The sequence below is a fragment of the Homo sapiens genome, chromosome 9 (assembly GCF_000001405.40).
Source record: "Homo sapiens chromosome 9, GRCh38.p14 Primary Assembly".
Taxonomy (NCBI): domain Eukaryota; kingdom Metazoa; phylum Chordata; class Mammalia; order Primates; family Hominidae; genus Homo; species Homo sapiens.
In genome coordinates this window covers 124,235,791-124,250,388 of record NC_000009.12, presented here as the reverse complement: position 1 = coordinate 124,250,388, position 14,598 = coordinate 124,235,791, and the positions used below count along the sequence as shown (strand labels likewise).

General features: G+C 47.2%; 4 annotated features.

Annotated features, from left to right (window-relative positions):
• Window positions 6,837-7,353: an enhancer, noted in NCBI's record as "H3K4me1 hESC enhancer chr9:127005315-127005831 (GRCh37/hg19 assembly coordinates)". NCBI's record gives its function as "activates a minimal SCP1, AML or CMV promoter by ChIP-STARR-seq in primed H9 embryonic stem cells {active_cell/tissue: H9 hESC(primed)}" and the evidence as "EXISTENCE:reporter gene assay evidence [ECO:0000049][PMID:30033119]".
• Window positions 7,354-7,870: an enhancer, noted in NCBI's record as "H3K4me1 hESC enhancer chr9:127004798-127005314 (GRCh37/hg19 assembly coordinates)". NCBI's record gives its function as "activates a minimal SCP1, AML or CMV promoter by ChIP-STARR-seq in primed H9 embryonic stem cells {active_cell/tissue: H9 hESC(primed)}" and the evidence as "EXISTENCE:reporter gene assay evidence [ECO:0000049][PMID:30033119]".
• Window positions 10,436-10,485: an enhancer, noted in NCBI's record as "active region_28970". NCBI's record gives its function as "activates an Ori minimal core promoter by ATAC-STARR-seq in GM12878 lymphoblastoid cells {active_cell/tissue: GM12878}" and the evidence as "EXISTENCE:reporter gene assay evidence [ECO:0000049][PMID:35858748]".
• Window positions 10,616-10,665: an enhancer, noted in NCBI's record as "active region_28969". NCBI's record gives its function as "activates an Ori minimal core promoter by ATAC-STARR-seq in GM12878 lymphoblastoid cells {active_cell/tissue: GM12878}" and the evidence as "EXISTENCE:reporter gene assay evidence [ECO:0000049][PMID:35858748]".

Here is a 14,598-nt window from a genome sequence, read left to right as displayed (position 1 = left end):
TCAGATAATAAATCATATGGCCACCCTGAATTTCATGTCACATGAAACAATTACAGGCAGGTGACTAAATACAGGAACAAACAGCCTCTCACTCATTCAGGCACTGAGTCCTGCATGTAGGTAGCACCAGCACCAGCTCTCTGATGTGAGTATCCATGTCTCAGGTGAGAAAACATGCACAGGAGAAAACTGATGCTCAGAGAGATTAACCAGTTTGTCTCAAACACACTTTGTTGTTTTGTTTTGTTTGTTTGTTTTTTGAGACAGGGTCTCACTCTATTGCCAGGCTGGAGTGCAGTGGCGTGATCATAGCTCACTGCAGCCTCAACCTCTCAGGCTCAAGCAATCCTCCCACTTCAGCCTCCCAAGTAGCTGGGACTACAGGCATGTACCAGCACACCCAGCTAATTTTTTTTTTTAAGACAGAGTCTTGCTCTGTTGTCCAGGCTGGAGTGCAGTGGCATGATCTTGGCTCACTGCAACCTCTGCCTCCCGGGTTCAAGCGATCCTCCTGCCTCAGCCTCCCAAGTAGCTGGGATTACAGGTGTGTGCCACCACACGCAGCCAATTTTTGTATTTTTAGTAGAAACAGGTTTTGCTACGTTGGCCAGGCTGGTCTCAAACTCCCAACCTCAGGTGATCCACCCGCTTCTGCCTCCCAAAGTCTGCGATTACAGATGTGAGCACCACGCCCAGTATATTTTGGTATATTTTGTAGAGATGAGGCTTCGCCATGTTGCCAGGCTGGTCTCTAACTCCTGAGCTCAAGCAATCCACCTACCTCAGCCTCCCAAAGTGTTGGGATTACAGGCATGAGCCACTGCACCTGGCTTGAGCACACTTTGTAGCAGGATGTCTGACAGGCTCAGAATCTGTGTTCCTATTTTCCCTGTGCTACCAAGCATGACGGGATAGGGGAATAAATGAACTGAGTCCACTGGGTCCCACCCTGGCCACATTTCTTCTCCAGGTGTCCAGGTAACCCCTTGGCTTTGGAGATGAGTGAGGGGGCCCAGACACCCTTCCTGAAACTCCTGGCTGATGTGGCTGGAGTGAGTCTCTCTTGTGAGCTCGAGGCCTCCTCTGCATGCCCAGTAGGGCTGGCTGCTCTCAGAGCAGATGGAGGCAAGAGGCCCCTTGGATTTGGGGCCGATGACATCATCTGTCCATCAACCCCAAATCCCAAATGTGAAGCAACTGTTCTGAAGGAAGAGGCAGGCATTTGGTTGTGGGTTTCTCAGCCCTGGCCCTGGTTGGCTGGGAATGGGTGTAATTTTTCCAGGCATCAGGACACGCCAGGCTTGTCTTGGGGGGTGGAGTGGGGAAAAGGAACCAGAGGAGAAACCTGGCAAAACAGGTATGGGAGCGGGTAGGAAGAGGGCAGGGGCAGGGAATCAGAGAAGATTCTTCAAGAAGGGGCTTGCCAGGGTCTGGGTACTGCTACTCCCTCCCCTCAGCCCCAAACCTGCCCTCCATACCAGGACTGTAAGTGGCCAGGGTCTAACCCATCATCAAGAAAGAAAATTAGGGCTGGCATGGTGGCTTATGGCTGAAATCCCATTGCTCTGGGGAGCCGAGGTGGGAGGGTGGCTTGTGGCCAGGAGTTTGAGACCAGCCTAGGCAACATATTAAGGCCCCATCTCTACAAAAAAAAAAAAAAGAGAGAAAAACAAAAGAAAAAAATAAATTAGCTGTGCATAGTGGCACGTGCCCGTGGTTCCAGCTACTCGGGAGGCTGAGGTATGGGGATCACTTGAGCTTAGGAGTTTGAGGTGGCGGTGAGCTATGATTTCGCCTCTGCTCTCCAGCCTGGGCGACACAGTGAGACCCTGTTTCAAAAAAAAAGAAAGTCCCCTTCCACCATTCAAATGGTATTCTGAGGGACCTGGTTGGGGGTTGTGCTTGCTGTTTTGGGGTGATTCCCCTGAAACAGGATGAGTGGCTAGAGAGGCACACTGGAGGAAAGGCAGTAAATGTGGGGCTCCGGAGCCCTCAAAGAAGGAGGCATGTGTGAGCTGCATGGCTCAAAGCTGCAGACTTCAGGATCGAGACGAGTTGCTCAGGCAGGCCCCTGGGATAGGTGGCCATTTGGCCATATACATTCTGCCTGCAGCCTGTGGCCAAATACCACAACCACTGCTCTGCAGTCAGCACCCCCAGAACTGGACTGAGGCCAGGGAGTCTTGGCAGAGCCCCAGCCTTGGAGCCAATCAGACCAGGGTTCAAAGCTTGGCTCTGCCACCTTCTAGCACTATGGCCTTGAACAAGTCACTTTACTTCTCAGAGCCTTGGAGCCTCATTAGGAAACTGTAGGTGTTAACATCTTTCTCACCAGGTTACAGTTCTGTATGGGAAGACACTGAACCAGCATGTGGCTGAAATAATATCAATACCAATTGTTCATCAAGCTCAGAGCCTAGCACTTCACATTTTCCATACGTCATCTCATTTCATTATTCCAACAAGCCTATGAGGCGAGTGTCAGGGTTATCCTTTATAGATACATAGATAGCTGGGAATTTGCCTCAGTTTCCCCACCACACACACAGAAAAAGTTCAGAGAGGTAAAGTGACTCGCCCAAGGTCACACAGTTGGGACGTAGGAAAGCTGCAATTCATAGCAGACATGCAGATACATTTGGCTAGCACAGCAAGCCCCAGAGTCACTTATTTATTTATTTATTTATTTATTTATTTTTTGAGACAGAGTCTTGATCTGTTGCCCAGGCTAGAGTGCAATGGTGTGATCTCAGCTCACTGCAACCTCTGCCTCAGGGTCAAGTGATTCTTATGCCTCAGCCTCCCACGTAGCTGAGATTAGAGGTGTGAGCCACCACATCCGGCTAATTTTTGTATTTTTGGTAGAGGCGGGATTTCGCCATGTTGCCTAGGCTGGTCTTGAACTCCTAGCCTCAAGTGATCTGTCCACCTTAGCCTCCCAAAGTGCTTGGATTACAGGCAGGTGTGAGCCACCCTGTCCCACCTCCAACATTAATGTTAAAATAGAGATCATTAAGACTGACAAAACAGACTCTTAGTAACAACAAAATACCAAATTATAGGCCGAGTATCGTGGCTCACGCCTGTAATCCCAGCACTTTGGGAGGTCAAGGTGGGTAGATCACTTGAGGTCAGGAGTTTGAGGCCAGCCTGGCCAACATGGTAAAATTCCATTTCTACTCAAACTACAAAAAGTAGCTGGGTGTGGTGGCACGTGCCTGTAGTCCCAGCTACTTGGGAAGCTGAGGCAGGAGAATTGCTTGAACCAGGAGGCGGAGGTTGCAGTGAGCCAAGATTATGCCACTGCACTCCAGCCTGGGCAAAAGAGTGAGACCCTATTAAAAAAAAAATTATAAACAAGACTTAAGGCCATCCCAGGCTCGGGTTAAGTCAAATACCCTACAGTTAAAAAATAAACTGTGTTTTAACTGCCACAAGCTTTGTCTTTTTCTCTGACAACTAAACAAACACCGGCCTCAAAATAACATTAATATTAAAACAATTGCAATTCATCCAACTCACAAATACTGACTTACTGGTCCACCAACCACAACTACAACTTTCACTAGACAAGAGACTAACTTCAGTAACTTTCTCCTGATAAAAAGACCACCGACTGTAGACGGGCCCTGGTAGGTTTATGGAGATGGTACACTTGTGTGCCTTGTGTCCCGAAAAGACCTTTTGACTTATAGGGCCTAATTATAATACATTTAACTGTTAAGTCTCCATCCCGAAATGAACATGGGTCCTATGTTACATACCTGTTTGTTCAATTCACATGTGTCATGACCACCTTCATAAATATTCTTTTGTAACCTGTTAAATATATGTGTTTTTAGGCAACCTGTTTAGCATCAAGCATCTACCCCAACCCCTCCTCCTTCGAAGTAACAGTCTCTGGTCTTATCCAAAGACACATTTCCCTGCTTGTGGGATGGCCCCTTTGCAGGCTGTAACTCTTTATAAGAAACAAAGTCTCCTCTCCTTTTCCAAATTTATACATTGTAATTTTTTTTTTTTGGTTGACTACCATAATGATCCCCTCTATCACTTCTTACCACTGAAAAATTCCATATCATAGGCCAGGCACGGTGGCTTACACCTGTAATCCCAGCATTTTGGGAGGTCGAGGTGGGCGGATCACGAGGTCAGGAGATCGAGACCATCCTGGCTAACACGGTGAAACCCCGTCTCTACTAAAAATACAAAAAATTAGCTGGGCATGGTGGCGGGCGCCTGTAGTCCCAGCTACTCCAGAGGCTGAGGCAGGAGAATGGCATGAACCTGGGAGGTGGAGCTTGCAGTGAGCCGAGATCGTACCACTGCACCCCAGCCTGGGTGACAGAGCAAGACTCCGTCTCAAAAAATAAATAAATAAAATAAAAATTCCACACTATAGGCTTTTATGTATTTATTTATTTTTATTTATTTTGAGATACTCTCACTCCATCACCCAGGCTGCAGTGCACTGGCACAATCTCAGCTCACTGATCCATCTCTTGGGTTCAAGTGATTCTCTTGCTTCAGCCTCCCTAGTGGCTGGAATTACAGGCATGCACCACCACACTCAGCTAATTTTTGTAGTTTTAGTAGAGACGAGGTTTCGCCATGTTGGCCAGGCTGGTCTCAAACTGCTGGCCTCAAGTGATCCACCCGCCTTGGCCTCCCAAACTGTTGGTATGACAGGCGTGAGCCACCGTGCTCGGCCATATAGGCCTTTATTTAAAAAAAAAAAAACTGTCACTTGAGGTCAGGAGTTCAAGACCAGCCTGGCCAATATGGTGAAACCCCATCTCCACTGAAAAAAATATATATGTACAAAAATTAGCTGGGTGTGGTGGCACATGCTTGTAATCCCAGCTACTTGGGAGGCCGAGGAAGGAGAATCACTTGAATCTGGGAGGTGGAGGTTGCAGTAAGCTGAGATTGTACCACTGCACTCCAGCCTGGGCAGCAGAGACTCCATCTTAAAAACAGATAAATAAATAAATAAAATAAATACAAAATAAAAAATAAAATCCTTCATTTGTAGAGTTTGCTGATTTCTGTGGTGTAAAATACTCCTACCATGGCTGGTATAAAGCTCCCAAAAACAACTCCCAAATATTTAATAAGCAGCTCTTATTTAGTAATCAGCTCCTGCCCACCAATGCACACCAGTTCTAGCATACCACTCACTGGTCCTATCTATCCCCCTCTCAGGCTCCATAAAGGAATGACCCTGGTCTCAGAGCCTTAAGATTCCATTTTCCTTTGCTGGGGAGAAGGAAGGCTGCCTGCACTGAGCACTCACTGCGTGCCAGGAATGAGGCTGCTGCATCCCAACCTGGGACCTCTTTGAATATTTACAACAACCCGTCAGTGAAGGTATTATGATCTCCACTTAATAGATGAGGAAACTGAGGCTCAAAAAAGTAGCATAGGCCAGGCACGGTGGCTCACACCTCTAATCTCAGCACTTTGGGAGACCGAGGCGGGTGGATCGCCTGAGGCCAGGAGTTTGAGACCAGCCTGGCCAACATGGCAAAACCCCGTCCCTATTAAAAATACAACAATTAGCTGGACACGGTGGCGGGTGCCTGTAATCCCAGCTACTTGCGAAGCTGAGGCAGGAGAACAACTTGAACCTGGGAAGCGGAGGTTGCCATGAGCCGAGGTTTTGCCACTGCCCTCCAGTCTGGGCAACAGAGTGAGACTCCATCAAAAATAAATAAATAAATAAATAATAAAAATTAAAAAGTGACTTTGACTGGGCGTGGTGGCTCACACCTGTAATCCCAGCACTTTGGGAGGAGGCTGAGGTGGGAGAATTGCTTGAGCCCAGGGGTTTGAGACCAGCCTGGGCAACATAATGAGGCCCCATCTCTACGAAAAACATAAAAATCAGCCAGGCATGGGGGTGCACACCTATAGTTCCTGCTACTCGGGAGGCTGAGGTGGAAGGATTGCTTGAGCCCAGGAGGTAGAGGCTGCAGTGAGCTGTGATCATGCCACTGCACTCCAGCCTCGGTGACAGAACAAGACCTTGTCTCAGAAAAATACCACAAAGAACAACAACAGCAAAGTAATGTCTGCTAGCCAAGGTGGCCCAGAAAGTAAATGTCAGAGTCAGGACTCGAGGCCAGGTCTGTCTGATAAGACCCTTTGCACTGAAGCACTCTGCCTCAGGAGATCTAGGGCTGATACAAGCAAGTTTTGTCTTCTTTCTGAACCTCGATTTCCCCATCCATAGGGAAAAGAATTGGACAAATTAATTTCTAAAGATCCTTTTGGGCCTAGTGAGCCATAATTTTAAGACTGCAAGAGTGTAGTGAAGTGGGGACGGGCTTACATCAATGGAATGAATAAAATCCCCAAGGGAAGAATTTCACTAGTTAACCAGGGAGAAGGGTGCAGGAGTGGCGATGCTTCCAACTGTACGTGGCCATATACACTTGGGAGGTGATGTGATACTGTGAAACCAGCCTGGGTTTGAACCTCTACTTCATGGCTGTGTGGCCAGGATTCTTTTTTTTTTTTTTTTTTTGAGACGGAGTCTTGCTCTGTCGCCCAGGCCGGAGTGCAATGGCACGATCTTGGCTCATTGCAACCTCCGCCTCCCGGGTTCAAGGGATTCTCCTGCCTCAGCCTCCTGAGTAGCTGGGATTACAGACGCCCGCCATCACTCCCAGCTAATTTTGTATTTTTAGTAGAGACAGGGTTTCACCATGTTGGCCAGGCTGGTCTCAAACTCCCTACCTCAGGTGATCAGGGCCTGAGAGGGGGATAGATAGGACCAGTGGTATGCTAGAGCTGGGGTACATTGGCTGGCAGGAGCTGATTATTAAATAAGAGCTGCTTATTAAATATTTGGGAGTTGCAAGGCAGTTGTTGGGAGCCATTACTTAATCCTAGTTCACCTCTCTGTTTTTGGTTCTGCTAGTAGTCTGCCCTATTGTTCTAGAAGCCTAAAGGGACAGTAAAGGGTCCCAGTATGAAAACCTTTGTACCTGGTGTATGTGACAAAAGATCTTCCACCTTTACAAACTATCGTGCCATCTTTCCTTTTCCATCTCCCTAAGTGGGTTTGGCAAGAGCCAGTGCTTTTTGCTCCCTGGTCTAGAAGTCCCATAAGCTGAAAGGGGAGGGGGAGGCCTGCGGTTTCTCTTTTCAGCAAAGGCAGAAGTCAAGCCCCTCACTCTCCCCCTCACCGTCTGGGCCCTTCTCCCTCTGGCCTGCACCGGCTGGTTGGTCATCTCAGGTTTCTGGAAGCCTGTGTTCCCAGAGGAGGCATTAAAGTTGGAGGAATGCAGGCCCTGTGAGTGACGCGTTAAGGAGGCTGTGCAGAGAAGCAGTCTGGGGGAGAACCCCCCCCAACTCCGCCAGCTGCGTCCCAGCCCTCACCGGAGAGGAAGAGAAAGGAAGCGGAAAGGAAACTGATCCAGCAGGCTCTCAGAGGACTTCCTGCATTCGTGTGTGGGAGGGGTGGGAGGCAGGAGGGCTTAGACCATCTGGAGGAGTATGAAGGCAGCGGTTCCTCTGGGGGCTTGAAGCAACCGTGGACCAGGGTCCCAGAGCAAAGGCGCTTGCTGGTTAAGATGGCAGGGGATGAACGTTTACTAAGCAGCTACTGCCTTCTAGGCATCGGAAAAGCGCCTTTACTTTCCTAACCCAACTCTAAGAGTGCCTTCCTGCTCCCAGCCGAAGACCAGTCTCTGCAGGAAGTTATAACCAAGAAAAAAGTGAAGCAGCCAACCAGCGTGCAGAGGCATAAGGTTACAAAACGTATCCAGCCCCAATCCAGCTCCCAAACTGCTGCAAAGCAAAGCTGCTCTTTCCTGAAGTTCACCTGGGACCCAGAAGAGGGGAGCGAATCGGTACCTCCCGCAGAAAAGCCTCCCAAAGCCTGCTTGGGCACCACACCCTCTCTCCAAAGATTGCGCCTCCTGGCACCTGCTCACATCCCTCCTCAATCGTGTCCCGCTTCCGCCTCTCCATTTCAATTTCTGAATCTCCACTCATCACCAGGGGCATCATAAACTCTGGTTTCCTTAGGACAGCCCAGGTTTATGGCTGTTTATTACTAACGGTGCCCCCTTTCATGCTCAAAGTGTCCTGGGAGAACAATCAATGATACAGCCTTCCTCCTCACTCACCACTGACCTGCAGCTTCTGCAAAAGTCCGGCTGCTGAGAGATTCTGCAAGCAGAGGGCACCTCATAGGAGGTGAGGGCGGAAGCAAGGCTCTCTACCACCTCCTTTTACTATTTTGTCTCCAGTCCCCAGAGTTTTTTCTTTTTCTTTTCTTTCTTTTTTATTTTTTTTTATTTTTTATTTTCGAGAGGCGTTTCACTCTTGTCACACAGGCTGAAGTGCAATGGCACGATCTCGGCTCACTGCAGCCTCCGCCTCCTGGGTTCAAGTGATTCTCCTGGTTCAGCCTCCTGAGTAGCTGAGATTACAGACATGCACCACCATGCCCAGCTAATTTTTGTATTTTTAGTAGAGACGGGGTTTCGCCGTGTTGCCCACGCTGGTCTTGGACTCCTGACCTCAGGTGATCCACCCACCTCGGCCTCCCAAAGTGCTGGGATTACAGGCGCGAGTCACTGTGCCCAGCTGCCCCCCCCCACCAGAGTTTTTCATTTATTCCATTCAACGCTAATCTCACCAATCAATTCCTTGTTTTGTAGATGGGGAAATAAAGGCCCAGAGCTTAGCACTTGGTCCAAGTCAAACACCCAGTCCATTTCCAAAGCAGAGATTCAAACTCAGCTCTGCCTGAATCTGAAGCCCTCACATTCTCCATGATGCCAGGTCAGGGAGGCTGGCAGAACAGGATCAGCCTGGGACATCTTCCATTTCCAAGGAAGCAATCAACAGGGTCCCCATGCCCAGAGGGGTCTGTGCCTTGCTCAAGGTCACAGCTCATCAGCAGCAGAGCTGGTGCTAGAACTTGACCCTTAAAACATCCCTGAGTTTTTCCTGAGCTAACAGGAGGCCTCAGTGCCACTCTAGGGGGAGGACTCAAAGCCAGGGAAGCTCAGGGAAGCTCAGGTCACCAGTGTCTCCACCTCCCACTGATTTGATCCCACTCATACATCTGAGCATTGGCCTCAGTTTCCCCACTCAAAAGGCTCTCTAGAGCCCCTTGGCTGAGCCTCTCTTCCTGACCCACCTTGCCAGCCCCTCTCCCAAGAGAATGGAGCCTGAGCCTGGACCCCTAGTAAGAGCTCTGCCCCATGTAGATGTCGTGGACCTGGGAGAGGAGGCGTGTCCAGACCCTGAAAACTCTCACTGCAGTGCCTGTTCAACTGGGTCACCAGTGTGGAGTGCCACATCAGAGAAGTCCTAACCGTGTCTCCCAAATGTAGTGGCATTCGAGACCCTCTCTGCTCTCATGCCCCACCTTCCCCCAACACATCTTATGCTCCAGCCGTGGTTTTTCCTGTCACCAGGATTGAGCACGTAGTGCTCCCTTTGCCTGGGGTGCCCTTTCTTCCCACTTGTCGAAAGAACTCTTATTCATCCGCCAGCACCCCAATCAATGCCCCTTCCCAGGGCATTCATCATCAGCTGGTAGACACTGGTGGGTGCTGTGGATTGTTTACAGCCAGTGTCCTTTCTGATTGGTCAGTGACTGTGACAAACAGGTTATTAAAGATTTAAACTCTCGCCCCCAGTCTCTGTCCCTGTGGAGTCTTCCCTGACCCCAGGCAGGATCCTCCTTCCCTTTTGGGGCCCCTGTGTGTCCCTTTGCTGCAGCCCTATCCCACGTGTGGCTCTGCCTGCTTAGGCTCTGTCCTCCTCCCTAGACTTTGTGCTCCGGAAGGGCAGGGACCATAACTGGTCCATCATGGTAGCTCCCCAGGGCCAAGCCAGTGCCTAGGCCAGAGCACTAGCACTTTAGGCACAGGTTTTACTCCTTGGAAGGGGGCTTCTAGAAGCTAGAGGAATGCTGAGAAACCTCCTAACAGCTCCCACTCCCTGATGAGAGGTGTTTCCTGTGGACTGGCCCCTTCCATAGGATGATGGTTGATCCCACTTTACAGATGGAGAAACCAAGGTGCAGAGAAGTGAGGGACATTGGCCAAGGTCACACAGCAAGTAAGGGATGGAACCAGGATTTGAACCCAGGTGTGAATCTGAAGTTCCTCCTCTTCCCATGCAGTCTCTTTGAATCCCAGGCAGCTATTTTTGGGCAAGGAAGATCAGTCTTAGCTCAGGGGGCTTTCCCAGGGCCTCCAGTACCCCTGCTCAGGATAAGGATAGGGGAACGATGGCCACTGATTTCCTCCATCAACTCACAGGGGCCCAGGCCGGGAAGGCTGCACAGGATGGACTGACCCTTTTCTCTGATCCCCACTCCTCAGGCCTCTAAGCCAGTCTTGGCCTTTGGCTGTCCTTGGTGTAAATTCCAGATAGGGATACCAGGAAGCAGTTCTGCAAAAGATGTGGGACTTTCCAAGACAAACCAAAAAGAGAAGACAGGAATGTCCCTCCCACAGGGTCACATTAGCACTGCCCACTGAGAACATCCTCTCTAGCCCTGTTACCCCCCACATGCCTGGCTCTTGGTTGCTCTCAGGGGGACTTCACAGTGGCTTGGTGGAGTCAGCCTCAAGACTTGAGCCATGAGATTTGGGTTCCAATCCTAGCCCCAGGGCTTGACTTGCCTGTGGCCTTGGTCAGCCACTTTACCTTGTTGGTAATTGCAGGCTTTGCCTGTGAGTGAAGGGATTGCTGGGGAAATTAAATGGAATAATAAGTACCAAGTGCCAAGTGCGTGACACAGGGTTAATGTTCCCTCCATACATGGGGATCGAGTGACACTCTAGAACATCTCTGGTCCTCCTCCCCTTCCCTGCCAATCTTGGTAACCTACAAATTCCCCAGGGAAGAATACCAAGTCTTCTTGCTTTAACGTGATCTGGTCTGACCTTCAGTCTCTGTGGGCGGGGAAAACACAGTTTCCCCTTTTCTCTGTAGTCTGGAGCCTGCCCTCTACAAGCCCACGTGGGAGGCCCTGGGCTTCTCTTAGATGAGATTATTGCGCAGGAGAAAGTCCCTGTACCCTTAAAACCATAGAAACTTGAGTCCTGCCACCTTCACCTCTATGCGGTTTGGACTCACACTTTTCAGAACTTGGTTGAGCTGCAAACCCAATCTATAAAAATTCCAATTTATTCAACACAAAGGCACACCAAAGGATTCACTGCTGGCTTCTTTTCAATAGTCAGCTCCCTTGCGTGTATTGTAAATGGGTCTCCTTTTATAGAACTTCAAATTCTGGACAACTTCTTAGATGCCTCTGTAGGGCCAACTAAGGTATAGTCTACCTGAAGTCCAGCCACATTCCAGCAGCCACCTGAGCAGACGTTTCAAATGGAAGCTTCTACCCTCAGCTCTACAGATCACAAAGCCAGCTCACACCTGGAACCACACTTGTGACTAAAGGGTTTTCTTTTAGGGTAATGAAAATGTCTTGGGGCTGGGTGCAGTGGCTCATGCCTGTAATCCCAGCACTTTAAGAGGCCAAGGCAGACACATCAGTTGAGCCCAGGAGATTGAGAGCAGCCTGGGCAACATAGTGAGGCTCCGTCTCTACAGATAATTTAAACATTAGCAGGGTGTGGTGGCACACACCTGTGGTTTCAGCTATTCAGGAAGCTGAGGTGGGAGGATTACCTGTGCCTGGGAGGTTGAGGCTGCAGTGAGCCGCGATTGCACCACTATACTCCAGCCTGAGTGACAGAGTGAGAACTTGTCTCAAAACAAAACAAAACAAAAACCAAGAAGAAAAGAAAAGAAAAAAAGAAAATATCTTTTAATTAGACAATGTTGTGCTGGTTCCACGCATTGCGAATGTACTGAAAACCACTGATTGTACACTTTAAAATGATTGAACCAGCCCAGCGCGGTGGCTCACGCCTGTAATCCGAGCACTTTGGGAGACCAAGGTGGGAGATCACAAGGTCAAGAGATTGAGATCATCCTGGTCAACATGGTGAAACCCCATCTCTATCCAAAATACAAAAAATTAGCTGGGCATGATGGAGCACTCGAGTCCCAGTTACTCGGGAGGCTGAGGCAGGAGGATCGCTTGAACCCTGGAGGCGGAGGTTGCAGTGAGCTGAGATCGCGCCATTGCACTCCAGCCTGGCGACAGAGCGAGACCCGTCTCAAACAACAACAGCAACAACAACAACATCAACAACAAAAAACAAAAACAACAACAAAACAAAAAAAATGATTGAACTGGTAAATTTTCTGTTATGTGTGTTTTACTACAAAAAAAAAAAAAAAAAGATGTAAGGATGCATCCATTCTCAGGAGCCGACCTTCACTTACATGCCCTGGGTGAGTACCTCTTTTTATTTTGGGTCCTGGATACCTCACTCGCCTTACCTAATCCTGGTCCTGGGGCCCAAGGCCTGCCCCATGGAGAACGAGAATTCTGTGTTTGCCTTGTAGCTTCTTTTGCACCCACCACTCCCCAGGAGAATCCTTTCTTTGGCCATTCAGGTTATGGGCTGATGCAGGAACATTTGAGGGGGGAAAAGGAAGAGAGAGAACTGGAAACATGAATAGCTTGGGAGCAGCCAAGAAATACTTGTTGGAAAAAAGAAAAACTATGGAGATAGGAAATGGAGAGCGGGAGAAATGTGAAGATTCACCTAGCTCAATATTTTTATTTAAAAAAAACAGCTTTATTGAGATATAATTAGCGCACAATCCACTTCATCCATTTAAAAAGTACAATTCAGTGTTTGTTTGTTGTATAGTCACAGATATGTGCAACCATCGCCACAGTCAATTTTAAGATGTTTTCGTCACCAAAAGAGAAATCATCCCTTCCCCCACCGAGCATCAAGCAACCACTAATCAACTGTCTATCTCTCTGGATTTACCCATTCTGGAAATTTCAGAAAATGGAATCAGATAATATATCTTTTGTGACTGGCTTCTTCCACTTAGCGTAATGTTTTCAAGGTTCATCTATTAACGAAATAAAAAACCTGTCAAACTATTTCCCAGTATGGTTGTACAGTTTTGCATCCCTGACAGCAATATATATTCTAGCTGCTCTACATCCTCACCAGCACTTTGTATTGTTAGTATTAAAAATGTTAGCCATTCTATAAGTGTGTAGCACTTGGTCATTGTGGCTTTATTTTGCATTTACCTAATGAATAATGATGTTGAATTTTTTTAATGCACTTATTTGCCGTCCATATGTCTTTGAAGAAGTGCCTCTTCAAAGTACTTGACTATTTTATTGTTGGTTAGTTTGTCTTCTAACGATTGAGTTATGAGTTATTTTAAAATTGTGGAGACCAGTTACTTATCAGACATTTTCTCCCAGTCTTTGGTTTGTCTTTTTATTTTCCCAACAGTGACTTTCATAAAGGAAAAGTTTTTAATTTTGAAGGCTAATTTTTCAATTTTTGACTTTTATGGTTTATGTTATTTGCATCCTGTTTAAATAATCTTTATCAAGATCACAAAGATATTTTCCTTTATTATCTCTTTGAAGGTTTATATTCTATTTAAGTCTATGATCCATTTGAAGTTCTTCATGGTGTGGGAGGTAAGGGTTGAGGTTCTTTTTTTTGGATATGGATGTCTAATTGTTTCTTCACCATTTGTTGAGAAGACTATTCTTTCTCCATTGAAATTACCTTGGTTCCTTTGTCAAAAATCAACTGACCAAATGGATATTGGTCTATTTCTGGAATCATTTCTGTTCCACTGATCCATAGGTCTAAGCTTACGCTATCACCATGCTGTCTTGCGTATAGTAGCTTTATAGTAAGTCTTGAAATAAAGTAATGTGAGTTCTCCAACTTCTTCCTTCTTTTTCAGAATTGTTTTGGCTATTCTAGGTCCTTTGCACTTCCATATATAATTTAGAAACAGCTTGTCAATATCTACCAAAAAAAAAAAAAAAAAAAAGCCTGCCAGGATTTTGATTGAAATTGCAATATCAATTAGGAAAGTACTAACATAATTCTTCAGAATTGTTAATATTTTGTTAAAGTAGTGAGTCTTCTCATCATGAACATTGTATATCTCTCCTTTTATTTAGATTTTTTTTATTTCTCTTGGTAATGATTTTCCATTTTCAATGTACAAATCCTATTTCATGATATTTGTCCCTTAACTTTTCATGTTTTTAATGCTATTGTAAGTGGTATTGGTTTTTAATTTCTTCTTCTTTTTTTTTTTTTTTTTGAGACACAGTCTTGCTCTGGCCCCCAGGCTGGAATGCAGTGGCTCAATCTTGGCTCACTGCAAGCTCCACTTCCCGGGTTCATGCCATTCTCCTGCCTCAGCCTCCCAAGTAGCTGGGACTACAGGTGCCTGCCACCACACCTGGCTAATTTTTTTAAATATTTTTAATAGAGACGGGTTTTCAACATCCGGTTTCAGCCGGATGGTCTTGATCTCCTGACCTCGTAATTCACCACCTCAGCCTCCGAAAGTGCTGGATTACAGGCGTGAGCCACCGTGCCCAGCCGATTTTTAATTTCAATGTTAAATTTTAAAATTACTGTTAAGTAGAAATACAATAGACTTTTGCATATTGGCTGTATATCTTACAACCTTGCTAAA